Source organism: Homo sapiens, chromosome X (genome assembly GCF_000001405.40).
Source record: "Homo sapiens chromosome X, GRCh38.p14 Primary Assembly".
Lineage (NCBI taxonomy): Eukaryota > Metazoa > Chordata > Mammalia > Primates > Hominidae > Homo > Homo sapiens.
In genome coordinates, this window is record NC_000023.11 from 47,634,123 (window position 1) to 47,661,170 (window position 27,048).

A 27,048-nucleotide genomic window follows, 5' to 3' on the forward strand; every position below is an offset into this window, starting at 1 on the left:
TCTCAATCAGCTTCCAGTACCCTCAGTCCTTGATTTACAGCCTTTCATAAAGTCTCTTGCAAAGGGTTTACCCATGGACACACAATCCGTTTCTCAGCCACTGTCTCAGTCATCACTGTCCCTCAGTCAGCTTCTGATATACTCGGTCAGTATTTCACAATCACCACTAGGCCCTCGATAAGTCACCCACAGTCACCCATGCCCTCTCAGTCGTGCACACCGTCATTTTCTTCATATGGTCAGCTCATCACGGACACACGTGCACAGCTTTACAAGTTTCTCACACACTGTCACGTGGTCACTTGGCATGTCTCATTTGCTCAGCTCTTTTGTATGGCCCCTGATTTATGGTTTCTTATGAACTGTTTCACAGACCCCCTGGTGCTCTGACATCACTCAGTTGTCAAGTTCCTCTCCCACAGTTTCTGACTTCCAGTTACTGCTACTGCCAAGTCTCTCATAAACAGTTCCTTGTCCCTCTCCCTTGCATGCCCAGTGATGTGGTCTCTCACACCATGTCAGTGGCTCCGTCCGGCTCACCGTCATTTTCTCTCCTACTTTCTCACAGTCCCTGAACCTGTGGGATAGACTGTGGTAGTAATGGTAAATCGATTTGCAACTAGTTTCAGGTGTACACACACACACACACAGCCTGTCACACTCTCCCAGTCACAGCCATTCGTTTTTCTCAGTCTTTGCTGCAGTCTCTCACGCCTGCTTTCGTACACACAATTGCACCTTCTTGTATCTTTGGTCTCGGTCACTGGTTTGGTCTCCCAGCCATTCTCTCCCGTACAATCAAGTTCGCACCCATACAGTCTTACAGCTTTAGCTGACACTACAGCCTCAAGTAAACAGTTTTGCACATCATCTATTTCTCAAACGTTGAGTCGCCTACAGTGAGGTTTGTCACCTACACAATCTTTGCCACAATCCCTGACAACCTCTACTGTAGTTTCATGCCCACGTAGTCTCTCACATGTGGTTTTGGTCACCCAGTCTGTCTTGCTCGCCATCAAACAGTGACAGGGCTGCAGTCCCCGTTCCCTTCTCGTAGACATTATTTTGTGCATACCATCACAGGTTCTTGTACAGTACCTTGACTATTCATCCAGGCTCAGTTATTTTCTGAAACACAGCCACAATTTCCCACATAGACACACCATCAAAAGTCTGTGGTCACAACTTCTGCACACTCTCACACACAATCACAGCTTTCCACGTCTCTGACACACACATGGTTACCGATATGCAGTCCCTACTATTGTTTCTCACACACGCCATCACACCGTTTCTCTCACAATCGACCTCTGCCTCACACCCTCCACACACAGTCATGCGTGTCACGCTCAGCTAGTCCTGACAACATCAGAGAAAAAGTGCCAGCAGCCTCCAGCATCACTTTGAAAAATATATATTTACAGGAACAATTCCCCATTCTCTGGGACTCTTTAGAAAAAAAAAAGGTCCATTTTGGGGAAGTAAAACAAACAGTGGAGACGAGTGTAGCACTGTCCCCCAAATCACCAACCCCCAGGTCCCAAGGCCTGGGCTGGGCCAGCGCTAACAGGTGAGCCCAGGAGTCTTTTGAACCCACTCTCTCTTGCCTAGAATAGAGACAGGACAGGCTTTATGTCCCCCATTCCTCCCTCCCAACTCCAGGGACATTGAAAGGGTCCTTTGTACCCGCCCGCAGGAAATTGGGGGGCTGGGAGGGAGGGAACTGAAAATTCATGTTTGGTATCAAAAATAAACACTTGGAGTGGGGGAGGCGGCAGGAAGATTCCCCCCCAAATCCCTTCCTTCCCACCCACCCCACCAAATATAGGAAGAGATGACTCCCTCTCCCCTATTGAAAAGCCCCATTTAAAAATAGATTATACTATCAAAATGGCAGCGGGGGAGAGACAGGGAGACCTGGAGTACTGGCTGGAGGGGCCCCCCAGACGGGGACCACCCCCCAAAAAAACCCTCCATTGGGAGGAAACAGGCAGGACCCCAGGGAGGTTGGCAGACAAAGGAATGGCTTCTCAGGGGGAAGAACAAAAGGGACATTCCTCCCTGGCCAAAAAGTTGGTTGAAAAGGATAAGCTGTCTGAGAGAAAGGTTGGGGAGGTGGAAATTTCTATTCCAAGGGTGTGATTCTTCCTTGGCCAAGACTCCCAACCCATTAAATGGTACAAATTCTTCCTGGACCCCTGAGTATGGCCAGGAATAATAAAACAAAACAAACTAACTCTTCTACTCACATCCAAAAACGCAGACAGGGCTCCCTCATCTCCCCAAGGGCAGGCTGAGAAATAAAGAAAGAAAGGTCGTTCTCAAGCCAGACCTCGATTGTCTTGTCTTGGGGAAAAAAGTGGGGAGGTGGGGGAGATGTCCTAACCACCCTAAAAGGTTAGGTCAGGCTCCTCCCAGTGGCCTTCAAAAAATAAATAAATAAACCGCCCCTACCATTGAAGTAGGAGACGTGTAAGGGCGGCCACTGGGGGACTGACAGAAAACAGAGAAGTTGTGGAAGCTGTGTGTTTTCTGTGGAGGAGATAATGAGAGTTACTCTTGGGAGTAATTCTTCCCAAGGATCCCCACCCCACCACAATCAGAGCATGAGTCTTTCAGTTGAACTATGTTTCTCCTTGAGATGGCTGGCTGGAGAGAGCATGGATGGAGTGACCCCAGAAGGGGTGGTGGTGGTGGTGGTAGTAGTCATGGCTTCTGGGGCCCTGGGGAGAGCACCACGGGGGTCGAGAGGCCATCCACGCTGATAGAAGGGATGTGCACCTGGGCGCTGCCACTGGATGGAAACTGGGGGCAAAAAGAGGGAGAGGTCACAGATGGGGGCCATTCTTGGGTCTCTCACCCTGTCCAAAACGGGGAAAGAGGATCCTACCTGGAAGGAGAGCTTGGCCGGGCTACGGGGCGCAATGGGACTCAGGGTGCTCCAGAAGTGAATGCTAGGAGGCAGCGAGCTGGGTGTCAGCAGCACCGGGGTCTGTGGGGAGAGGGTGGTCGGAGCTCAAGTGAGTAGAAAGTAGATGTGGGATGCTGGAAGGGACTTGGTCCCGGCCCCACCACAGATTTCCCACTCACACTCCCAGGGTCACTCCCCAAAGTGCACACACCTAGATGGTAACCATGGAGGCCATGCCTATGATCTCTCAAACTCTGCAGACACCCCCCACTCCCCACTCCCGAGAGCCCACCCTCAGTTGCTGAGACCTCATTGGTCAAGACCACCCACAAGACCCTATCCAAATGCTGCTCTCAAACCTCTCAAGTCACCATCCCAACAGCTCAGGGTCAACTTCCAACTCATGTCCCACCCATGAAACCCCATATGCACATCCCAGACCAAAAAGCCCTGCTCAGGTTCCTTAAGCCACACCCCAACCTAGAAACAGTCCCACAGAAAGACCCTCGGTCCCACCCACAAAAGTCCCCAGCCCTGCCCTTCACTAATCAAACCCCATCCCTCCAGCCAGCATCAGCCCAGTCAATCACACTCAAAGGCTCCACCCTCTTCAGGAACAACCACACTCACCCTCCTCTGATTCCTGTCAGTCACCCGCCACATGCCAATCCCATTGGTGCTGGCGCCCACACACCCCACCCCTCCGCAGGCACTCACCAATGTATGCGTAGGAAGCAGGGATGGGGTCAGCGCCGGCCCCGGAGCCTGGAGGCCGGAGCCACTTCCCGATCCTGGGGTCCGTTCGGGTCCCGGCCCACCTAGCAGGCTCGGGCTGAGTGGAAGCTCTAGGTCCCGGGGCTTCCGGCCCTTCTGCGGCTGGGAGATCTCAGGGCTGGAAGCCGCATGGCCGCCCGCCTGCCCTGCGGTGTCCATAACAACCGCGGGCAGCCGGGCTGGCACGCCCTCCTGTGGAGGGACTTCTGGCTCGGCCTTGGTGGTTTCTGGCACAAACCCTCTCTCCCCCGCAACTTCCAACTCTTCCTTGGGCCCTTCTACTTTCACTTCTGGGGGCAAAGCCCGGCCCAAACCCGGCTCCACATTAAGCTCTTCCGATTTCAGGTTTGGGGCCTCGGGCGGGGTCAGGATGACCTGGTAGAGGAGCAGGCACAAAGAGGGTGTGTAAGGATTGTTGGGACCACAGGATTCTCCTGTGGGCCACCCAGTGATTTCCCCGGGAAGGTGGCACTTGGTACTCAGGGCATGACTGCACATCAGAGCAAGTCCTCCAACAGGACATAGGACTTCGTCAAGGAAGTAGGGCTTCCTCTGGGGCAGGTCCTCCTATGGGACAGGGGACTTGGGGTGAGACAACCTGAAGCGGGTAGGAATCTGAGGGATACCATCCTCATTCATTAAAACAGTGGTTCTCAAAAATTTACCTTCCTCTGGACCAGCAATATCTGCCTCATTTGGTAACAAGTTAAAAATGCAAATTATTGGGCCCCTCCCCAGCCCCACAAATTCAGAAACTCTGGGGGTGTGCCTGGCAATCTGTGGTTTAACAAGACCTACAGGTGATTCTGATGAGCACTAGAGTGCGAGAACCAGTGCATTAAACATATTCCAGGCACCTACATGTTCGGCAGCTACTAACTGTAGCACAGTATTCTCCCCTTTCTGTCTCAGGATTTGTGTAGCTCTCTGCCCCACCCCTCCTTCTAAGAGGATGTCTTCCTTCCACCATTATCTCCTTTAACGGGACAGCTATGTCTCTTCTACCAGCCTCCCTCGTCATCCGGGGATTACACATCCCTCCTCTTTACTGCCTCCTCTTACTGAATTTCTATATTCCAGTCCTTACCTGCAGAGGCAAGCCGGCCTCTTCAGCCTCCAGACAGGCCTCCAAGGGGCTTGGACTGGTGCTCCTGCTCCCCGAGGGGGGCGCTGCTGCCCCTGCAGGAGCTGCACTGGGGAGCACCACAGCAGGCCGAGGATGAGGGGGTGGCTGCGGCTGCAGAGACTGGATGGTGAAGGTGGAATAGAGGCCCGAGCGCATGTACTCGTTCCGGCTGCTGCGTGCCAAACCGCCTGGGCCTGCCATTCCTGCACCCTTGGGTGTGCCTGGCTTTCCAGAGACAGTGTCCCCTGGGGCGGCATGTATAGCAGCAGGGGCCACATTTGGCATGGTGGAGGTAACAGACACCTCTGGCTGGGGCGGGCAGTCCTCAGTGGAGCACCCTGCGACCTCAGGGTAGGACACAAACTTGTAGACGAACTTCTGGCCGCTCACCTTGCGGATGATGTTCTAGGAAGGGAGGAGAGGAACAGAGGGCCTTAGAGGAAAGGGGCAGGCTGGAGGCAGGGTGTCAGGGGGGAGGAGGGGGGTGGAGTGGCATTTCTCTTCTCCTAGTGGCTTTCTTCCCACTTGCTCCTCTCCGGCTTTCCCGTCCCTCCTCTGTAAGTTTCTCTCTCAGCCCATTTCCTCTCCCATTGGTTTCTACCTCTTTCCTCTCCCGCCAGATTCCCCTTATCTATATCCCTCCCCAGTTCCTCCCCTTTCTCTCTTCTCTCCACAATAATTTTTTCTTTAAGCCCCTTCCCATCCACCCCTTTCCAAGCCTCCCTTTGTCACTCTCCAGGTCCGTCTATCTGATTTTCCCACTCCCTCCACACTGTAGCTCCTCTTCACAATGGGGCCCATGAAGGGCAGTAGGTGTGGGAGCAGGTCTTCTTCCTGGCTCCAAGAACCAGAGGTTCACAGGGCCAGGCCTTGTGGGTGACTGTCAGGACACAGTTTTGGAGACTAGCAAATGCAATAAGACAAGAAAATGAAGTAACTGATATAAATGTTGGAAGAAAGTAAATTAATGTAGATGGATGGGGTGATGAATTATTAATACAGAGGATTATTTGAAGCTAATGATACAGAAGTGGAACAGGGCAAGGTCACTGCAGAGGAGAGGGTGAGGAGGCCTCATTATTAATACCACTGTGGAGGTTGAAGCTAAAATGGTAAGAAAATGAAGTAACTAACAGCAATTAGACAAGAATATTAAAAATACTGGTATAAATATTGGGAGGGGGCCTATATCAAGGCTGGCTTTGCTGGGTCACAGAGCATGTTTGGGGTTTTTCAGGTCTGGTGGGTCTCAGAGATGACCTAGTGTTCCCAGAGGGCAGAGTGAGATAGCCTCATTACTAATATTGTTCTGGAGGGTTGAGCTCAAGGAATAAAATATGAAAATGGAATAAATGCCATAAACTATGAAGGGTGTGCAGCATATGACCAGGGCAGTTCTGGGAGTGTGGAGGCACTAGGGCATTCTGTGGAAGTCTTAGTGCTGGTCAGATATGTCACAGGGTGGGCCTGTGTTTCTCGGAAGAGGAATAAAAAGGGATATTCATGAATATTGTTTGGGAAATTTCAGTAGAAGGATTAAGAAAATGAAATAACTGGTATAAATATTGGGGGGAGGAGAAACCCAGCAGTGGCCTGGGGGTCTGAGAGGGCAGGATGGGGGAAATTTTAAATTTTAGCTGTAGGAATAAGATAATGAAAACAATTGATATAAATATTGGGGTAGACCAGTGCTCCTCTGGGAATTTAAGAAGACAGTGTGTGGAAGTTGGCATTAAACATGTTGTTTCAGAGGTTTTAGCTTAAGGAATAAGAGAAGAAAATAATTAGTTAAAAATGTTGGGAGTCCCAGAGGACGAAGTAAGCAAAAGTTGGTATAATACTGTCAGGGAGGTTTTGATTCTAGGAATATGAAATATTCTGGAATAAGAGAAGACTATGAAATAACTAGGGAAGCCCAGCACTGGTCCAGGGGTTTCAGAGGACAGAATGAGGACCAGCCATTATTAACCGTGTTTTCAAGATGTTGGCTATAGGAATACGGCAGGAAAATGAAACGTTGTGCATGGCAGGGCAGCATCACTTTGGGGATCTCAGAGTGGGAGTAGAAAGAGTCAGTATTAATAATGCAGTGGTGGTTTTCGCCAAAGCAGTAAGACAAGAAAGTAGGTGAGATAGTGTTTAGGGGCCCAATACTGGTCTTAGGGTACCAATGGATGGGTTAAAAACTGATAAATTTTAACATTGCTTTCAAAGTCATAGCTATGGCAATTAAAACAAAATAAAATCTCTGATATAAATGTCAGGGGGGGGTTCCAGCCCTGGTCTGAGAGACTGTACCTTGTCATAGTAGTACCGCAAGGCCCGGCTGAGCTTGTCGTAATTCATGTTGGTCTTGTTCTTGCGTAGCCCCCACAGCCGGGCCACCTCCTCTGCATCCACCAGCTTGAATTCACCACCATCCCGTGAAGTCCAGGAGATGATGTGGCCATTGCCTTGCTCTCTCAGCAGCTGCAGCAGAAACTGCCACAGCGTCACAGATGGGTCCATCGCTGGGGGAGTGCTCACGCCATCCCAGGGGTACCTGGAGAGCAAACAGCTGAGTTGAGAGGCTGTGGACATAGGAGGGGCAGAGGTCAGCGGGAGGAGGATTCCTTTTTTTGTCATCTTTTCTCCATCTCTGTCTTCAAACCCTACCATCATTCCCTAAACCTTCCCAGACTAACTTCTAGCTCCCCAGTCTTGCTTGGGATGCTCCCTGTGATGGGATACAACTCATGGGTATCTTAGGATGGTGTGAATGTATTTTGAATGTGAAACAAATGTGAATCTGTGGGGGTCAGAGGGCAGACTGTGGTAGGCCAAATGATGCCAACCCTGCTCCGCATCCTAATCCTCGGAACCTGTATGTTATTTACACTACATAGCAGAAAGGAACTTTGCAGATGAAATTAAGGTTACAAACCCTAAGACAGGGAGATTATTTCTGGATTATTTGATGAAATTCAATCTAATCATATGAGCTCTGAAAAGCAGATGATGGAGAAAGAAAGGTAGCTCAGAGATGTGATGACAGAAGAGGCAGGGGAGATTCAAAATGTGAGAGGGACTCAACCTGCCATTGTTGGCTTTGAAGATGGAGGAAGGAGGCTCAGAATCAAGGACTGTGGGCAGCCTCTTAAAGCTGGGAATGGCTGTCAGCTGACAGACAGTAAGGAAACAGGGACTTCAGTCCTACAATCTCAAGGAATTGGATTCTGCCAACAACTTGAATGAGCAGGAAATGGATTTTCCCCTAGAGCCTCCAGAAGGAACGCAACCCTGCCAATACCTTGATTTCAGCTGAGACCAGTGTGGGACTTCTGACCTACAGAACTGTAAGATAACAAATGTGTTGTTTTAAGCAGCTAAATTTGTGATTATTTGTTACAGCAAGAATAGAAAACTAGTTCCATCCTCCTCATTTGAATATTATCTGTATCTTCTACCATATCAATGTCAAGTTTTTCAGGAGGTTTTTTTTTTGCCAGACCCTTGCAAAGGCTGCTCACTCCACGTGGGGCTTCCTTCTTTCGCCTAGCAGTCTTTCTTATCTTTCAAGTCCCAGCCCAAAGGTCCTTTCCTTTATGAAGCCGTCCTAAAACTGAATGAATGCCTGATCTCTCTGTCCTGTTACTGTCCCTGAATGTTCTCGTTCTTTTTTTTTTTTTCTTTTTTTTTGAGATGGAGTCTCTCTCTGTTGCCCAGGCTGGAGCGCAGTATAGTGGCACAATCTTGACTCACTGCAACCTCTGCCTCCCAGGTTCAAGCGATTCTCATGCCTCAGCCTCCCGCATAGCTGGGATTACAGGTACCCACGACCACGCCCGGCTAATTTTTGTATTTTTAGTAGAGACATGGTTTCACCATGTTGGCCAGACTGGTCTTGAACTCCTGACCTCAAGTGATCCACCCACCTCCCACCTTGGCTTCCCAAAGTGCTAGGATTACAGGTGTGAGATACCGTGCTCGGCCCTGAATATTCTCTTTCTTGATGACAGCAATAATTAACATCTATTGAGAGCTTAATACACATCAGGCACTCTTCTAAGCAGAGAGGCAATATGGCCTGCTGGACAACTGCCCAGGCACTAGGGCCAGATTGCCAGTGTTTGAATCCTGGTTCTGCCACTTATTAGCTGTGTGACCCTGGGCATATTCTTTTTCTTTTTTTAAGAAATGGGGTCTCACTATGTTGCCCAGGCTGTTCTTGAACTCCTGGGCTCAAGCAATCCTCTCTCCCTGGCCTCCTAAAGTGCTAGGATTACAGGCATGAGGCACCACGCTTGGCTGATATTCTTTAACCTCTTTGTACCTCAATTTTCTCATGTGTAAAACAGGGATAATGATATGCCCATTAGTAAAATGGGGATAACAATACCTAGTTCACAGAGATATTGTACAGATTAAATATTATATGCCTGAGGTGTATGATAAGCTCTAAATATTAGTTTCTGATTTGTTCATAGTCCCTTATCTGCCATTCCAACATCCAAAATGCTCTAAGGGCAGAAAGCTTCTTTTAACTCTTTTGGTGGCAAAACCTGATTTGAAATGAAACAAGGCCCTTTCTGGTCTTTATTGAATCTCACTTATTGCGAGTGTTCATACATTTTGCTGCAGAAATATGAACACAGCCGATTACAGAGCTTACTAAGGGGTGTTATGTAACATCGTATATGCATCATGTTACCTTTCTGAAATGTGAAGAAATGGAAATTCTGAAACACATCTGGCCCCAGGGGTTTTGGGTAAGGGCATGTACACCTGTACTGTTATTTTTTTTTTTAATGGGCATTGACTTATTTATCCCTGATCATGCCTCTGAGAAGTAGGTAGTCTTCCTGTCATTAACTTATAAATGAGGCAGCGGAGGCACAAATGTCTACGTACCTTCCACAGGCCACATGTGGCAAAGCCAGCATTTGGAGCCAGGCAGTCAGGTTCCAGTTGACTAAGCATTTCACCATTAGGCTAAACGGCCCCTCACACCGACTATTCCCTCTCAGCATGTCCTTCAAAGAACAGGATCCTCCCTGTCACCCCATTACTGCTTTCTTTCCTGAGAGCAAACTGGAAATAAACATGAGCTTCCTGTTCAATTATACAAGTCACAAAGCCATGAAGTGTCCGATTAGAGAGTCCTGTCACCAGAGACCTCACTGAATTTGTTTTGCAGGCAGGCTTGTTTCAGAAGTCCAAAGAGTTCAGAGTGACTCCTGGTGGCAAAGACAGGCAATTTTACCAGTTCTTCTTTCAGCTGCAACAGAACCTATCAGCTGAGTGAAAGGTGACGGTGGGCTTCCAGCTTCAACAGCACACAGGGCTTTGTATTTTGTTATTTCTCCCACTTGACCCCTCATAAGAGTTCTAGTAATCTGCCTTGCTTAGATATGTTTACTTCTTTCCATCTCCTTCACTTAGCAAGCATTTGGTGAGTGCATACTGTGGGCCAGGTGCTGCGGATACAGTCGAGAACGCAACAGACAACAATCCCTGCTCCAGAGGAGCTCACATCTTAGCAGGAAAGGCAGATGAGAAAAAAGGCAAACATGTACAAGAGTGCGTCAGATGGTGGTAAGGGTTATGGGAAAAAAATCAAGCAGGGGAGAGCTGTTACTTTTACATGGAGAGTCAGGGGAGAGTAGTCGCCAAGGAGGGGACAACTGGGCAGAGACCAAAAGGAGGTGAAGGAACTGAGCTCGTGAGTATCTGAGAGCAGCAAGCCAGGTGGAAGCGGCAGCCGGTGTGAAGGGCCCAAGGCTGGAGAGTGCCTGGCAGGTGACATGGGGAGAGGAGGCTGACATGGGTTCGGGGGAGAGGAGGGAGGCAGCGGGAGAGGAGAACAGAGTGACGGGGGCCAGACTGAGCCAGGCTTTTTCGGGTGCTGTCAGGATGTTGAGTGAGACAGGAGCCACAAGAGGGTTGTGAACAGAGGGATGACAGGCTGTGACTGAGATTTCAACAGGATCCCCCTGGCGGTTGTGAGAAGAACAGACTGTTGGGGCTGAAGAAGCCACTGCGGTAGATGATGGTGGTAGCAGTGGGGCTGGCGAGAAGTAGCTGGGGTCTGGAGAAAGCCTGAACACAGAATAGGACTTGCTGACAGATAGCATGCCCGGGGGAGGTGAGAGAAGGGTCCAGGGTGAGTCTAGGTTTGTGGCCTAATCACCCACAAAGACAGCATTGTGGTCAGCTGAGGTGGGAGCCTTGCAGGAGAGTAAGTTTTGAGGGGGGTCACACCAGTTTTGGAGATGGTCAGTTTCAGAGGCCTGTCAGACATCTACGGGTATGCTATGAATACATTTTAATAATTTAAAAATGCAAGCCAGGCATACGATCCTTACCGTGGGCTGCACACTCTTTGAATCATTTAACTCATTGAATCCTCAAACCACCGTTAAAGGGTGGGGATTATCATTTCCCCCATTTTCCACATGAGGCAATGGAGGTACAGAGAAGTAACCTGCCCCAAGTCACACAGCTGGAAGTTGGCAGAGCCGGAATTCAAAACCTAAGTGGTTTGGCTCTAGTGAGCAATCGCCTTACACCACCAGTTCTCCATGAAGAGAAACAGAGAAGGGTAAGATCCTAGAGAGTGACAGGAATGCTGTTTTTACACAGGGTGTACAAGGAGTTCTTCCCCAAGGAAGTGACACCTGGCCTGAAGGAGGGGAGGTAGCAAGCCAGGCTGCCCTCTGTGGGGGAGGGCCTTCAGGCGGAGCGAACGGCGTGTACAAAGGCTCTGAGGCAGCCACCCTGAACTATCTACCGTTCCCGAGACAGTTCCAACCTCTGAGGGTAAGCACGGGCTGCTCTCCCCGCAGGGAGAGCTCTTCCCTCACTTCATGGACTCAATTACACAATCATCGCATTCCAGGAAGAATTCATTCTTCCTCTGCGTGATCAAAGGTGCCAAATAACCTGCCTGCCCTTGCAAATCTGTTCTTCTTTCTGAGTCTTCAGCCTTATGTTCCTCTGCCCCTGTTCTGGCTATTCTGGCTCAAGGTTACCCTGAGCAAGTTACTCAGCCTCTCTTTGCTTGTTTCCTCATCTGTAAAATGGGGATATTTTACTCTCAAAGTCAAATATTCTCAAAAGTACACCTACCCTCCAAGGCTTCTGTGAGGATTAACTGTGTCAATTCTGTAAAATACTTCTGTAAAAGACTTGAGGGGTTGACTTTTTTTTTTGTTTTTACAAGTAGCATTGTTAGGAACTTCTTTTTTATACATGTGCCTTTGTATAGTATATTCCAAGCACCATAGTGTTTAACAATGAATATTTACTGAAATAACACTACCCAGGTGCCAGAAAATCAAATCACTCTTAGAAACATCTTTTATGCCTGTGCCTTTAGGAGAGTGTATTATGCACACCACAGTGGTTATTTTTTGGGTTTTTTTTCGGAGACGGGGATCTCACTATGTTGCACAGGCTGGCCTGGAACTCCTGGGCTCAAGTGATCCTCCCACCTCAGCCTCTGTGCCCAGCTATACACCACAGTTTTGTGAACACATTCTTTCAATGCAACAACACAGTCCTTATTCACATATACAACTAGCACTCTTAGAAACAGCTTTTATACCTGTGCCTCCATAGAGCATATTACATACCTCAGTTTTGTGAACATATCCTTTTGAAAAGGAGGAAAATCCTTATTCATATATAAACTGGCATTCTTAGAAATATCTTTGACACATGTATCTTTTTGTAGTGCATTCCAGGCACCACCGTGTGGTAAACATCCTTTGGGGGTTGGTATTTGAACAGAAAAGTGCCTCTGATGTGTGGCAGATACTCCACAGATATTAGCTATTAGCTAGTGTGTCATCCTTCTCCCCCTGCCCCTGCAATCCTATCCTATGTATCACCTGCACTATCTGGCTCCCATCACCTGTGTGACCTCACCTTCTACCCTTCCCCGCACTCTGCTCCAGCCACACTGGCCGCCTTGATGTTCCTTGAACATGGCAGGCACCATCCCACCTCAGGGCCTCTGAACTGGCACTTCCTTCTGCCTGGTATGCTCTTCCCGTAGACATTAAGGCTCTCTCCGTCTCTACCGTGAGGCCCTAATTCAAGAGTCACCTTCCCTATGCCTAAGATTTCAACCACCCCCAATACTCGATTCCTACCTGCCCTATTTCATTATTTCTTCTCAGCATTTGTCTATTATGCTAATTTTACTTATTTATTTTGTTCACATAGTCTGTCTCCCCAGCTTGGGTTTTTTTTTTTTTTTTTTTGAGACAGAGTCTCGCTCTGTCACCCATGCTGGAGTGCATGGTGCAATCTTGGCTCACTGCAACCTCCGCCTCCTGGGTTCAAGCAATTCTCCTGCCTCAGCCTCCCAAGTAACTGGGATTACAGGCGCACGCCGCCACACCCAGCTAATTTTTTTGTATTTTAGTAGAGATGGGGTTTCACCGTGATGCCCAGGCTGGTCTTGAACTCCTGAGCTCAGGCAATCCACCCACCTCAGCCTCCCAAAGTGCTAGGATTACTGGTGTTAGCCACCGTGCCCAGCCTCCCCAACTTTTAATAAATGTCAGCTCCACAAGCACAAATATTTCGCCCTGTTTCGTTCCTTGCCATATTCCAGCACCTAGAAGAGTGCCTGGTACTCACAAGGGGCTCAGTAAAGGTTGGTTGCAGGAACAGTCCCAACTAATTAGCTCTCATATCCCTTCTTCTTCCTCATGTGACCCCTACACTGGTGTCTCAAATTATCTTTTTCCCATTTATTCATGGGATAAATTCTTATTGAGCATCTGCTGTTTACCTGGTACATTTTCAGTTGCTGGAGACATAGCGGTGAATGAGCAGACAAAAACTGAGTCCTCATGGGACTCACATTCTAATGAGGAGAGACAGACAACAAACAAGTAACCCACACAGTGTGTCAGACAGTGATAAAGGGCAACGGGACAAATCAGGGACCTGGCTTGAGCCCTGCTGGGTGTGCAGCTTCAGATGGTCAGGGAGGGGTTGACTTTTTTTGTTTTTACAAGTAGCATTGTTAGGAACTTCTTTTTTATACATGTGCCTTTGTATAGTATATTCTAAGTACCATGGTGTGACAATCAACCTTTAATGAAATAACACTACCCAGGTACAACAAAATCAAATCACTCTTAGAAACATCTTTTACGCCTGTGCCTTTAAGAGAGTGTATTACACACACCACAGTGGTTGTTTTTTGGGTTTTTTTTTTTCAGAAAAAGGGATCTCGCTATATTGCCCAGGCTGGCCTGGAACTCCTGGGCTCAAGCTATCCTCCCACCTCAGCCTCCCGAGTAGCTGGGACTATAAGTGCACACCCCTGTGCCCAGCTACACACCACAGTTTTGTGAACACATTCTTTCAATGCAACAACACAGTCCTTATTCACATATACAACTAGCACTCTTAGAAACAGCTTTTATACCTATGCCTTTACAGAGCATATTACGTACCTCAGTCTTGTGAACACATCCTTTTGAAAAGGAGGAAAACCCTTACTCATATATAAACTGGCATTCTTAGAAACATCTTTCATACATGTATCTTTTTATACTGCATTCCACACACCACAGTGTGGTAAACATCCTTTGGGGGTTGGTATTTGAACAGAGTGCTGAAAGGAACCATGCAGAGATCTGGGGGTGGTGTTCAAGGCACAAAGAACAGCCAATGCAAAGGCCCTGAGGCTGGCCCATGCCTGCTATGTTTGAGGAGCTGTGTGGTGGAACCAGTGTGGTTGGAGCACAGTAAGGGGGTGGGAAGGTATAGGCGGTAATGCTAGAAAGGTTACTTGTTTTACCATTAATTCACAGTTAATATTTATTTACACTGGAAGGGATTCTAGTTCTGATCCCCCATTTCACAAATGAAGAAAAAGGCACAGAGAGGAAGTGGTTAAATCACTCATCTAAGGTCACACAGCTGCTGGGATTGGGGGGTGGGTGGGTGCTGAGAGAAGGTGAGGAATGAAGACTGCTCTGCAGGCAGAGGGAACAGCAAGAACAAAAGCTTGGAGGTGAGAACTAATTTGGTTTTTAAGGACTGAGGCCTCACGTGGGGTGGGATGAGATCTAAGAGGGGAGCCTCAAAAATTATCCTGTGTCCTGAGTACTTCCTGGGCCACCTTTGAGTAAGGAATTTAACCTCCCTATGGCCCAATTCCCTCACTACCTATCTCATGGGGTTGTGGTGAGGATTAAAGGAACTCATTCATATGAAACACTCTGCCTGATATACGGCAGGTGCTCAATAAACGCTAGCTCCTATTGGCATTACTATCATCACTGGCGCTAATGTATTCACTTATTGTAGTGAGGCAGAACGTCTTTGTGGTTACGAGTGTGACCAGGCTGACCCACTATTAAGAGGTGGAGGACAGGGAAGGCCGTACAGTGCTCCATCACAAGGAAAAGAGGATCAGCACGTTCTCTTCTGGGAAGGGAAAAAAAAAGAGAAGGAAATTGAAAGTACACGGCCGATCTTCCCCCAATTACAAAGCACTGGACTCACGGGAGGGTATGCGGGGGACTGTGCAAGCATACAGGGGTGTGGGGGAGGAAGGCCAATGAACAGATCCACTGCAAAGGGAGGGGTGATGAGGCTCATCGTCTGAGGGGAAGGGGAGCAGAAAACCTTACAGACTCCTGCACCACAGTGAGAGGAGAGAAAAGCCATCACACAGACTGATTCAAAGCAGAGAGGGAAAAGGCTATGGACTGAGCTACTGAAAATAGGGAGATGTAAAGCACTAAACTAACCCACTATTAAAAAGGAGAGAACCCCAAGCGCTAGAGCGACAGTCTACGAAAAAGAGGAGACAGGGCAATGGACTGATAGCTAAAGGGACGTGAATCCAAACATGAAGACTGATCCACTATAAAATGGTGGTGGTGGTGGTGGGGGGGGGGGGTGGTTTTGAAAAAAGCCATGGACTGATGCATTGGGGGACTGGAGGAGGCAGGAATACAAACTCAGGTAGACTCACTGTTAAAGAGGGATGCGGAGGAGTGCGGCGCCACGGATTGATTCGCTACGATGTACAGGAAGGGTGGAATAAATAAGGCCACGGACGGGTCTCCTGAAAGTTGAGGCTAGGAGAAATCCAAACACTCAGATACACCTACTATTAAGGGGGCTGAACACTGTCACAGGCTAGCTCCCTATAAGTGGGGGTGGGTGGGGGGCGGGTGGGGGTAGGGGTAGGGGGAAAGCCTATGGACGAGTCCACCCTAAGTTGGCGTGGGGAAAAACATAAGCACGCAGACCGATCCATTATACAACGGGAGGGGGAGGTTAGGCCACGGTCAGATCCACTATAAGGGACGAAGGGCTTGAGCAATGCCACACGCAGGTCCACCAGCCGTGGTGGTGGCGGCGGGGAGTCGAACACCAGCAGGCCACCGGCCAAGCCACATCCTCTGCGCGGGGGCGGGAAGGATACGTGGGGTCACGGACTGGGCCCTCCACCCTCCAGGCCCAGAGCTCACCTGTGTGTAGCGTGGCGGTGGCGTTGGCAATGTTGGCAGCTCCGGGGGGCGGGGGCTCCATACGCGGCCCCACCGCCCCCCAGGCCTGGGTTCCGAGGCGGCGGTGGAGGTGGTGGTGGCGGTGGCGGCGGCAGCACCTAGAAGCCGCCCCTGCGTTTCCCTACAGCTCACGTGGGCCCGAGGAGGAGGAGCCCAATGTCCCGCCGCTCGCTGATTGGCCAAAGCGCTATTAATCGGCCGCAAGGCCTCGAGGGGTTGGGGGACGGGCCCTTCCCTACAGAGCTGTGCCGTGATTGGCGTAAGGGGAAATGATGGAACGCTCACGGCCCCTGGAGTCCCGAGGAGGCGCGTTCGGCCTTCACGGTGCTCCACGCCGATTGGCTCAAGGACTGACGGACTGTGAGCAACTGAAAAGGCTCGGGGCCTGTGTCGGGGGGGCGGGGGTCTGCCTCACACTGATTGGCTTACATGGGATTGATGGAAGACAGCCCCCAAGGACGGGGGTGGGTGGCCCTGTTTTTCTCTGATTGGCGGACGAGGGACTTCTAGACCCCTGCCAAAACACCAAGGGGGCGGTGTCGCACGCCATGCTGCTCAGCGGAAGCAGGGCTTGTATAGAAATGGGCGTAGCAGCCGGCGGGAGTGGGTCGGACTGGGCTCCGCGTAGGCGGGCAGGGCAGCTCTACGGTTAGACAAGACCATAGAGCTGGGTAAAGACGAATTTAGAACACAGCGGAGGTAGGAGGGCAGGATGGCTGTCAGGCACACGAAAGAGCATTGAGTGGCAGAAACGAAATGCTTTCAGAGGGCAGGGTTGAACTGCGGCCAGAGTTAAAAAGGGGAGGAACCTGGCTCTGCATTGATTGGCGGTGGCTGGACTCAACCTAGAATAGGGGCCCGACTAGGGAGAGCGGGATCCAGGTCTGTGCCCATTGGAAGCTGGAACACTTACAAGCAGGGGCTAAGACAAGGTAGGGCTGAGTTAGGGTTTGGGTGTAATTTGGGGTACCTGGGGAATGATTGGGTGTGTGAAAGCGTAAACCTTAGGGCCCTTTGATTGTTGTGGGAATGAACAAACCTCCACCATGAATTGGCCCATTCTCTATGGCAATTCAAAGGGTGGCGTCTAGGAAAAGGAATGGAAGAAAGGGTGAGGTGGGGGGCCCAGGTTGCCAAGATGACAGAAGAGAGGGCAGTGCATAAGGTCAACTGGCAAATACTGCCAGGCAACAGGCTGGAGGCAGGACTGCTGGGGCATTTTGGAGGTTCCACAGAGAGACTGGATCTCTGGGTCTCTCAGTAACTTTGTGCCCTAGGAACAGGCCCCCGTGGCAACTAGCAGGGTTTATGGGGAAAAAGAAGGGCCATGTGACTCAAAGGCATTCAGGCTCTTTAATGTCTGAGGATGGGGGGAAGAAGTCAATGGTGAGGCTTCTCTGGGAAATTCTGCAGGCCTTGTAGTTCTCTAAGCCCCTGAAAAAGAGGACAGAAGAGATTGAACAAAGACTGGGTCTGGGTTACGCCCCCAGGCTTGCTCTGACCTCCCTCCCTTGACTCCAGTTTAGAGGGAAAGATGGTCCTTCCCTTCTTTCGCTCTCTTCCTTCTTCAGGTCACCACCCTAAACACAGAGTCTGGTAGTGGGGTGAGCTGCTCTCACCTCTAGCAACATGTGGATATGGGCTTTGATATTCATGGAGTCCTTGGTGAGGCTGTTGCTGAGCCTAGAGAAAAGAAACAAGAAAGGGCAAAATGGGCCCCACATGATTATGATGACCCTTCCTTATCACTTCAAGATCTACTTATATCCTGGATGATTTCCACCTGGCTCATTCCTATGTGGAAATGCCAAGCCACCATCTGGTTTTCACTGATTCAAAGATTATTAAATGCCTACTGTATGCCAGGCAATTTTAGGCACTGGGAGATAGCAGCAAACACAACAAACAAAACTCCCGGCCTGATGGACTTCAAATTCTTGTAAAGAAAGACATAACAAAAAACCAATGGAATAAAAGCTATGTGTCAGATGGTTCTAACTACAATAACAAAAATTAAAAATGAGAGACAATAAGGAGTACAGGAGTGGGGGGCTGCAATTTTAAAGAGGGCTCAGGGATGGCTTCACGGAGAAGCATTTGAGTAAAGACTTAAAGACAGTGAATTTTGAGTAGTGTGGCTATATGGAGGATGTGTTCCACACACAAGGGGCAGCAAACACAAAGGCACTGAGGTGGGAGTGTGCCTGGCATGTTTGAGGTGCAGCAAAGAGGCCACTCTGGCTGGAGAAGAATAAGTGAAGGGGGAATGTAAGAGGTGAGGTCAGAGAGGTAATGAGGGAGACAAACTGTGTGAAGCCTACAAGGCCATGGTAAGGACCCTGGCTTTGACCTTAAGTGAGATGGGAGCCAAGGGAAGGTTGCAGCAGAGGAAGGAGGTTGAATTACATGAACCAGTCAGTTGACTCCTTTTCTCTAAGCCAGTTTGGATCAGATCTCGCCCAAAAGAATCCTAATTGATATAAAGGGTCAAGGAAGGCCTTTCTCAAGAATGAAGAATGAGAAGGAATCGAAGAATGCCTAATGGTTAAGCAGTAGGAAGGCCTTTTCCACAAAAAGGACAAGAGGCAACAAAGAGCTGTTTGAGAAGCAGTGAGGTCAGAGTGTTAGAAATTGAGTGGGGAGGGAAAGTGGCCTAAGACAAGGTCCAAGAGATAGGAAGAGGTTAGATCACACAGGGTCTTAATATAATAAGGAATGTGGATTTTATTGTGCTGTCAATGTAGGAGTCAGTTTGAGGGGTAAATGAAACTAAATACTGTTGGAAAAGCAGAGAGCAATAAGATAGGATGTTAAATTGGAAAAAAAAGTAGTATGAACCCATGTATATACCAATATCTCCCACATTTTTATTTCTAGCCCAGAACTCTCTCCTGAACTTGACTAGTTTTAATGACATCTTCTAAAAATCCACTTCAGTGTTTAATAAGTGCCTCATACTTAACAGGTTCCAGACTAAATTCCTGACCTTCCCCTCCAAATCTACTCCTCCCCTAACTTCTCCATCTCAGATAATGGCAACTCCATCCCTCCAGTTGCTCAGCCAAAAACCTGGGCTCCTCTCTCTCACACTTCACATCCAGTCAGCCATTCTTCTTAAAATCATGACTGTTCCATTGCAGGTAATGCTTCTGATCTCCATGATATGCTTTCTCCATAGCACTGTCAACATCTGACATACTACATCATTCATTTGTTTATTGTTTGTCTCCCCTGACTAGAATGTCAGCTGTATGAGGGCAGATTTTGTTTTTTTTTGTTTCCTGCTCTATCCCCAGGGACCAGAACAGTGTGTGGCACAGAGGAGGCACCCAACGTATGTTGAATGAATAAGTGACTACTCCATTAAAAGGAACCTGAGGTTGGCTGAGTGTATGTTTAGGGACAGGAAATAAATGAAGTATGGGTGTTGTTGCCAGAGAGCAAGAATACTTTCAAGAATATTCTGGGGGTAATGCTTAAAGAACAGAAGAATGAACCTGATCAGCTCCTAAGGGACAATTTTAACATCAAAAAAGAGAACAAAATTAGTTAATGGTGTAAGCTTACCTTATGAAAACCTATGAGTTCAACACTTTAAAAGGGAGAAAAATACAGAGTTCACCAAATGCTAGCTGTAACACAAAAGGGATATGTTTATTACTGCTGATTTATTTTTATTTGCTATGTGAGAAGCAAATTACTACTGATTTAGTATGTAAGGCAGTGTGAATAGTCATATGGTTATGCTTTTTTTTTTTTTTTTGAGATGGAGTCTCACTGTGTCGCCCAGGCTGGAGTGCAGTGGCGTGATCTCGGCTCACTGCAACCTCCACCCTCCGAGTTCAAGCGATTCTCCTGCCTCAGCCTCCTAAGTAGCTGGGATTACAGGCGCCTGCCACCGTTCCCGGCTAATTTTTTGTATTTTTAGTAGAGACGGGGTTTCACTATCTTGGACAGGCTGGTCTTGAACTCCTGACCTCGTGATCCACCCACCTCGGCCTCCCAAAGTGCTGGGATTACAGGTGTGAGCCACCGCGCCCGGCCGTTAGGCTGTTTCTTCTATAATTACATGTCTATTCATGAGATGTGGATGTGTACTCCTTTCTGTGTCATCAGGAAAGAATATAGAGATTTCATCCCTTCCACTTCCCAAACAAAGAAATATACTAAGAACAGGAAGAACTGACACTTTTGATCACATAAAATGACCAGAAAGTTAGTTCAAAGTATATCCCAAGTAACCAAATATTTTTAAAGGACAGCCAGCTACATAGACTCAAATCTTCATCTCTTAGAAAAATTAAACTTCTAGACAGTCCTACTAATTACAATAAAGCAGTAAGACTCAACCATATTTTTCATCACACTAACAGACCAGGTCAGTACATCAAAAAGACCAGGCAAGGGGGCAGGCACTGACAATTTAAATACTTCATTTTGGGGAAGTACGTGGAGTCTCAAAACATTAAAATCTATTTGATAGGCTCAGGAATCCTGTGACATAACAAGGAAAGCCTTCTTATACAAACTAGACTTTAGCTGGGCGCGGTAGCTCACACCTGCAATCCCAGCACTTAGGGAGGCTGAGGTGGGCAGATCATCTGAGGTCGGAGTTTGAGACCAGCCTGGCCAACATGGCAAAACCCTGTCTCTACTAAAAATACAAAAATTAGTCGGGAGTGGTGGTGGGTGCCTGTAGTCCCAGCTACTTGGGAGGCTGAGGCAGGAGAATCCCTTAAGCCCAGGAGGCAGAGGTTGCAGTGAGCCAAGATCGCACCACTGCACTCCAGCCTGGGCGACAAGAGCAAAATTCCGTCTCAAAAACAAAGTGGACTTGGTCTAAATGACCACCAGTTCAGAATTGTGTTGACCATGAAAGCAGGCCGTTTAATTAAACTATTTGCTAATTGGTCTGAACACCAAGAATCAGAAATCTCAGCAGGTCTGAGGTTCTTTTGGGTCCACTAGCACCTGCTAGTCCTTCCCATGGCTGGAAAGGTTTGAAAAGATAAAAATTACTGAAACTCTAAGGGAGGCAACTCTGGAAAAAATGAATGTAGAACAGACATAAACACAAAACACAACCAACAAAGAAGTTTAAATCAATGGTACTCACACTTGTGAGATGTTGTTAATCTAAGTGTATTGCTCAGTGCCCCCATGCTCATTCCATTGAAACCAAGCTCACCTCTCTTGGTAGTTTCACTAGCATACCAGGCACACTATTCCTCTTGCCAGGAATGCTCTTCGCCAGATAGCCCCATGGCTTTGTCACTCAGTCAAATGATTCAAATGTCCCTTCCTCTGGGAGGCCTTCCCTAGCTACATTTCAAATCCCTCATCTATGCTCCCAACTGCCCTTCCCTGCACAAAACCGTAAATCAAGCTTGTCCAACCTGCAACCAGTGGGCCACATGCGGTCCAGGACGGCTTTGAATGCAGCCCAACACAAATTCATAAACTTTCTTAAAACATTATGTGATTTTTTTTTGCAACTTTTTTATTTTAGCTCATCAGCTATCATTAGCATTAGTGTATTTTATGTATGGCCCAAGACAAATCTCCCAATGTGGCCCACGGAAACCAAAAGATTGGACACTCCTGCCTTAAACTCAACTGGAGCCCACATTTTCTCTCCCCATCACCCCCAACACAGATCTGCTTCAATAACCACTTTAATATGCTTCCAGCATACCCTTTCAAATTATTTCAACAAACACAAAGCCGGGTACAGCAGTGCGCCTGTAGTCCCAGTTACTTGGCAGGCTGAAGCAAGGGGATTGCTTGAGCCCAGGAGTTTGAGGATGTAGTATGCTATGATCGCAGCTGTAAACAGTCACTGCATTCCAGCCTGGGCAACACAGCGAGACACCATCTCTTAAAAACAAAAACACAGAGTGTCTACTATATGCTTGTACTACTCTAGTCACCTGGGTATAAGGGAATAAACCAAATCTCCCCCTTTGTAAAACTTACATTCTAATTGGAGGAGACAACATGAGAAAGAAATTACATAGTAAATATTAGGGGGTGATAAGTGTTAGTAGAAAAAAAGTAGAAGGAGGGGAATCAAGCATGCCAGGGGCTGTAATTTGAAAGTTAGGTTACAGAGGGCCTTGTTGAGGAAGTGACATTTAAGCAAGACGAGTGAGTGAGGAGAAAGGAAGCCATGTGGGTACTGGGGGAAAGAGCAGTGCAGGCAGAGAGAACAGCTACAGCAATATCCCTGGGGTGGGATCATTCTTGGGGTGTTGAAAGAAGCATGTGAAGGTGAGTGTGGCAGGAACACAGTGAATGAATAGTAAAATTAGCAGGAAGTGAAATCATAGGTAACTAGTTTTCTTGTTACCAATTCTAACAGGCTGAGACCTCATGGATCTGGTCATAATTGTATTTATGTATAACAGTATAGTCCTTCTAGATTGTAAGCCTTCAAGGAACTCTTCTGTCTTGTTCACTGCTGCATTCCCACTGCTAAGCACAGTGCCTGGCATACAGAAGATGCCCAATAAATGTTTGCGTGAATGAACAATACAAAGATCATTTTTTGAGTGCTTATTATGTGCTACACATGGGCTTTGCAACCCCATTTCTTCAGCCCCAGCTCTGAAGAGGAGGGGAGATGAGTCCTTAAGTATCATTCCAGGCAGCCATGGGTAAAGGGAGAAGAGTGTTGGAAATGGTGGTGTTTTTACACACTATCCTCATGGAATGGACTTACTCTGTGAGGAGAGAGCTCTTACGATCAATGAACTTGAGAGCTTCTGCCAGTGTCAACTCCAGGAAAAAACCATATCCCAGGGCCACATAGATGCGTGAAGTATCTGGGCTGAGGAAAGAGAGGTTAGAGGAAGTGGGGAGAAGTCCTTATCACTGTTTAGCATAGTTTATGTTTTGCTCCCCACCCTTCCCCAAATTGAGGCTCTGGGAAGGCAGGGATTTTGTCCTATTTTATTCACTGTCACATCCCCAGCACCTAGCTTATATCCTACTGGGATATAAAACCTCGCATAGTGCCTGGTACATAGAAGATACTCAAAAAAATATAAGTTGCATGAGGGAAGGGGTAAGCTGAACCCTGTGGGCTCAGAGGGGCGGGTAGACACTCACACCACTGTGTCAACGAAGAAGTTACAGCCCAAATCCACCTGCATATATAACTCCGAGTGCTTAGCTTCCTGTGGGGCCAGGGAAAAAGAGGTAGGGGTCAGTGGTGAACTCTTAGGTCAGGTGACAGGGTTGGGTCTGGAGTCTCTCTTCCCATTTCCCTCCCTTGCCCACACATACCAAAAAAATGGTACCCAATCCCATAGTCTTTACCTGGAGTCGCTCAATGACATTTCTCAGTTGAAGGTATTTGGCCAGCTGCTCATATACCTTGTCTCGATGGTCCAGCACCTTTCTGATGGGACGAAAGTACAATGGTGACCAATAGGCAGCCCCATTCCTCCTAGTATACCTCATATCATGACCCTCTGAGACTCTCATGTCACCATACACTGAAAAGGCTTTTTAGTGCATAAGTTAATTTTCGGCTCTGGGTCAGACTGCCTGGGTTTGGATCTGGGCTCTATCCTTTATAGATGTGTGACTTTGGCAAGTAAATAACCTGTTTGGGACTCAGTTTCCCCATTTATAAAATACAGATGACAGTATTACCTTGTAGAGTCATTAGGATTAAATGAGCGTTTACTACAAAGCATCTAGAATAATGCTTATCAAATGGTAAACTCTCTATATACATGTTAGTTATAATTACTATTATTATACTCCCAATACTGAACTCCAATCATAATGTCCCATCCTCACCCTAGAAAAATCCTCCATCCCTTTTAGGATGCTCATAGGCCTAGTTCTGAACACCTTATTTCCTGCTTAGATTAACAAAGATTGCAATAATATTTCTTCATACTCATTGAACCTCTACTATGTTTCAGGCATCCATGCTAAATTCTTGACAAAGATGGGACACATCAAAAACTCAAAACCACTGCATGGGGAAGGTTCCAGAAAACTCCCCATTTCACAGAAGAGTAAAGTTTATAGGGCACAGAAAGGCGAGGTAGGACGTATTCACAAGGATGAAGAATGGCCGAGCCAGGATTCGAACCCGAGAACTGTGGCTCCAGAAAACAAGCCTTAATCTGTTAAACATCGGAGGCCGCGCATGCGCTGACACGCCCCTGCTATGAACGCCACGTCCCAGCCAAACTGCACCCCGGATGTCGTCCCCACTTCTCGCTCCAAGGAGCGCGGGGCCGGACTCTGAACGCCTCGCCCGCCAATTCAAAGGGTTGGCCCTAACTTTGAACGCCCCACCCACCACGTGGAATGTTCCAAACGCCCCGCCCCCCGCACTGTCACTCACCGCAAGTCCCGCTGCAGCACGTCACTGATGAAGGTCTCGTAGCGCAGCACTTTCTCCCCCGTGGCCTCCACCGCCCGCCGCTTAGGGGGCGTCGCCATGATGGGCTCCTGGGGAGTGGGGAGGGGGAAGACCATGTTGACCGATCCAGTTTGGCCTCACACACAGTTCATCTCTACCCTCTCAACGCTGGGAATCGGCTTGTCCGGCTCAAGCTGGAGGTTCAGCCTTCCGCCCCTCCCAACTCGGGGACCCGACCACCCAGGGACACCCAAGCGCGGCCTTTACCTCAGGCCGCCAGCAATAAGAACGGTTGGTAGGAACCGCGGCTTCCGGGTGGCGCGGGTGAATGACGTAAGTGGCAAGCGCGCTGGCCAACCAAATAGCCAGTTGGGGAGGGGCGGGCCTGAGTGGAAGAAGACGGGCCAAAGGGGAGAAGAGAAGGGCAGGGCTTCACGGAATCCGAGGAGATCAAAGAAGACTAGGGCGTGCGAGCAGGGGCCGTCTGGCAATAAACCGGCCAATGGGGGACTGCAAAAGCGGCGCCTGGAGCCTATGGAGACCGTGTGTGGCTGGTGGGGGTGGGATTTAATGGGATTTGGCGGGTTCTAAGGTAGGCGCGACGCACAGGTGGAGGTAGAGGAAGTGAAGAGTTTAATATTTAAAAGGACCTAAAAATTGACTATGGTTCTGGTCTATAAGGAAGATCCCGTGTGATCTGTCGGCCTGGATATTGATTTTTCACACGGGAGGTTTGGATTTCACTCCTGGCAATGGGACTGAGTATAAGCATTTAAAAGGTTTTAAACAGAGACAGGTTTTCTAAAATTCATCTTTGATAACTCCAGCTCTGCACTCGCAACCCATAAGTGAGGCTCAAGTGGAAATTGACAACACTCTCTGTCTAATCACCTCGTTTGATAGTCAAATGGAGAGGGTGGCTGAAGTCCTCTGCCGAAGATTGGCCATCTTGTAGTTAGGCATAGTTCCCATGTTTTTATTTAAATGGTAAGGTTTTTGTGAATTTATTCTTATGCACTAGAGTGACTGAGTGAATTTATTTTTCAGGTTAGATTTTCAAACAAGAACTTATAACCCAGCAAGAATGGGCCTTTGCCTGGAGAAGAATCCAGACCATGGGATGAATCCCCAAATGCTATTTCCATCTGTAGAGCCTAGAGCACCCACCCCTACCAAGGAAGTCTTCCCAGATAATTTGTGTTTCATATGTAAAAGCAAGTTTTTTTTTTCAAATGCTCAAAACCCAAGCAAGTTAAGCCCTTCCTTCCTTCCTTCCTTCCTTTCTTTTCTCTCTCTCTCTCTTTCTTTCTCTCTCTCTCTCTTTCTTTCTTTTTTTTCTTTTTTAGACAGGGTCTGTGTCCCCTAGGCTGGAGTGCAGTGGTATGATCATGACTCATTGCAGCCTCAACCTCCCAGGCTCAAGTGATCCTCCCGCTTCAGCCTCTGGAGTACCTGGGACTACTGGCATACACCACCACGCCCATCTAATTTTTAAAAAAGTTTTTGTAGAGACAGAGTCTCACTATGTTGCCCAGGCTGGTCTCAAACTCCTAGGCTTAAGTGATTTGCCCACCTCGGCCTCCCAAAATGCCGAGATTATAGGCATGAGCCAGCACACCTGGCCAAGTTAAGCTTTTCTTTGCCCTTAGAACGAGATAATTGTAAAATGAAAACATTGAGATTAGTTTTTTTGGTCTGTAAATCTCATGTTACATATAGTTTAAATTACATTGAGTGTGATTGGAATAGATACTAGGTAGAAAAATATTATCTAGTTAATCTATACCACTTTCCTGTGAAAAGAGAGAAAAGAAGACACATATTTATTTAACAGAGAACACAATTCTGATGGGCTGGAGATGAGTCTGTGTAAGTCTATTAACTTATATTTCACAAAAAAGAATTTTTTACTTAAAAATGTATTTCCAACTTTATTTTTACATTTCAAACCTACAGAAAAGTTGACAGTGAACACTCATATACCCTGCACTTAAGTTCGCCAGTTGTTTTATTTTGAATTTTTAAAATTTTTTTAGAGGCAGGGTCTTGCTCTCTTGCCTAGGCTAGAATGCAGTGGTGTGATCTCGGTTCACTGCAACCTCTGCCACCGGGCTCAAGCAATCCTCCCGCCTAAGCCTCCTGCATAGCTGGGACTACAGGCATGAGCCACCATGCCCAGCTAATTTTTTGTAGAAATGGGGTTTCACCATGTTGCCCAGGCTGGTCTCGAATGCCTGAGCTCAATCAGTTCGCCTAACTCGGCCTCCCAGGGTGCTGGGATTACAGGCGTGAGCCACCATGCCCGGCCTGGATTCACTCGTTG

At 48.0% G+C, this 27,048-nt stretch overlaps 2 protein-coding genes and 1 long non-coding RNA gene across 8 annotated transcripts, besides 8 other annotated features; 1 reads left to right on the forward strand and 2 right to left on the reverse strand.

The window, feature by feature from the left end:
• On the reverse strand, window positions 1,398-16,482 carry ELK1 (ETS transcription factor ELK1). 3 transcript variants are annotated; one of them, NM_001114123.3, is made up of 7 exons: window positions 16,301-16,441; window positions 15,799-15,904; window positions 7,110-7,353; window positions 4,773-5,216; window positions 3,629-4,060; window positions 2,891-2,992; window positions 1,399-2,805 (listed from the first exon to the last, which is right to left on the reverse strand). In NM_001114123.3, the coding sequence occupies exons 3-7, from the start codon at window positions 7,317-7,319 to the stop codon at window positions 2,707-2,709; spliced, it is 1,287 nt and encodes a 428-aa protein (NP_001107595.1). In that variant the 5' UTR covers window positions 7,320-7,353; window positions 15,799-15,904; window positions 16,301-16,441; the 3' UTR covers window positions 1,399-2,706. The 3 variants fall into 3 exon arrangements, with proteins under 3 accessions (NP_005220.2, NP_001244097.1, NP_001107595.1); NM_005229.4 differs by lacking the exon at window positions 15,799-15,904 and having other exon boundaries at window positions 1,398-2,805; window positions 16,301-16,482; NM_001257168.1 differs by lacking the exon at window positions 3,629-4,060 and having other exon boundaries at window positions 1,398-2,805; window positions 2,891-2,930; window positions 5,157-5,216; window positions 16,301-16,482.
• Window positions 15,904-16,884: a transcriptional cis regulatory region, noted in NCBI's record as "promoter|chrX:47509425-47510405 region (GRCh37/hg19 assembly coordinates) targeted for CRISPR interference". NCBI's record gives its function as "positively regulates PLP2 gene expression in K562 cells {active_cell/tissue: K562}" and the evidence as "EXISTENCE:mutant phenotype evidence [ECO:0000015][PMID:31784727]".
• Window positions 16,216-16,625: a silencer, noted in NCBI's record as "silent region_20811". NCBI's record gives its function as "represses an Ori minimal core promoter by ATAC-STARR-seq in GM12878 lymphoblastoid cells {active_cell/tissue: GM12878}" and the evidence as "EXISTENCE:reporter gene assay evidence [ECO:0000049][PMID:35858748]".
• On the reverse strand, window positions 17,674-25,058 carry UXT (ubiquitously expressed prefoldin like chaperone). 4 transcript variants are annotated; one of them, NR_045560.2, is made up of 8 exons: window positions 24,993-25,058; window positions 24,708-24,814; window positions 23,660-23,741; window positions 23,450-23,517; window positions 23,061-23,168; window positions 19,907-19,971; window positions 17,959-18,022; window positions 17,674-17,773 (listed from the first exon to the last, which is right to left on the reverse strand). NR_045560.2 is itself a non-coding variant. In NM_004182.4 (7 exons), the coding sequence occupies exons 2-7, from the start codon at window positions 24,803-24,805 to the stop codon at window positions 17,720-17,722; spliced, it is 474 nt and encodes a 157-aa protein (NP_004173.1). In that variant the 5' UTR covers window positions 24,806-24,814; window positions 24,993-25,058; the 3' UTR covers window positions 17,674-17,719. The 4 variants fall into 4 exon arrangements, 2 of the variants coding, with proteins under 2 accessions (NP_004173.1, NP_705582.1); NM_004182.4 differs by lacking the exon at window positions 19,907-19,971; NM_153477.3 differs by lacking the exon at window positions 19,907-19,971 and having other exon boundaries at window positions 24,708-25,058.
• Window positions 24,402-24,905: an enhancer, noted in NCBI's record as "H3K27ac hESC enhancer chrX:47517923-47518426 (GRCh37/hg19 assembly coordinates)". NCBI's record gives its function as "activates a minimal SCP1, AML or CMV promoter by ChIP-STARR-seq in naive and primed H9 embryonic stem cells {active_cell/tissue: H9 hESC(naive and primed)}" and the evidence as "EXISTENCE:reporter gene assay evidence [ECO:0000049][PMID:30033119]".
• Window positions 24,630-24,709: a silencer, noted in NCBI's record as "silent region_20812". NCBI's record gives its function as "represses an Ori minimal core promoter by ATAC-STARR-seq in GM12878 lymphoblastoid cells {active_cell/tissue: GM12878}" and the evidence as "EXISTENCE:reporter gene assay evidence [ECO:0000049][PMID:35858748]".
• On the forward strand, window positions 24,711-25,989 carry UXT-AS1 (UXT antisense RNA 1). The gene is made up of 2 exons (NR_028119.1): window positions 24,711-25,058; window positions 25,773-25,989. It is a non-coding gene; the product is annotated as a UXT antisense RNA 1 (long non-coding RNA).
• Window positions 24,890-25,149: an enhancer, noted in NCBI's record as "active region_29594". NCBI's record gives its function as "activates an Ori minimal core promoter by ATAC-STARR-seq in GM12878 lymphoblastoid cells {active_cell/tissue: GM12878}" and the evidence as "EXISTENCE:reporter gene assay evidence [ECO:0000049][PMID:35858748]".
• Window positions 24,890-25,407: a biological region, named in NCBI's record as "H3K27ac hESC enhancer GRCh37_chrX:47518427-47518928".
• Window positions 24,906-25,407: an enhancer, noted in NCBI's record as "H3K27ac hESC enhancer chrX:47518427-47518928 (GRCh37/hg19 assembly coordinates)". NCBI's record gives its function as "activates a minimal SCP1, AML or CMV promoter by ChIP-STARR-seq in primed H9 embryonic stem cells {active_cell/tissue: H9 hESC(primed)}" and the evidence as "EXISTENCE:reporter gene assay evidence [ECO:0000049][PMID:30033119]".
• Window positions 24,988-25,327: a silencer, noted in NCBI's record as "fragment chrX:47518509-47518848 (GRCh37/hg19 assembly coordinates)". NCBI's record gives its function as "represses an EF-1alpha promoter that drives an FKBP-Casp9 reporter gene in an ReSE screen in K562 erythroleukemia cells {active_cell/tissue: K562}" and the evidence as "EXISTENCE:reporter gene assay evidence [ECO:0000049][PMID:32094911]".
• Window positions 25,990-27,048: the final 1,059 nt, after the last annotated feature.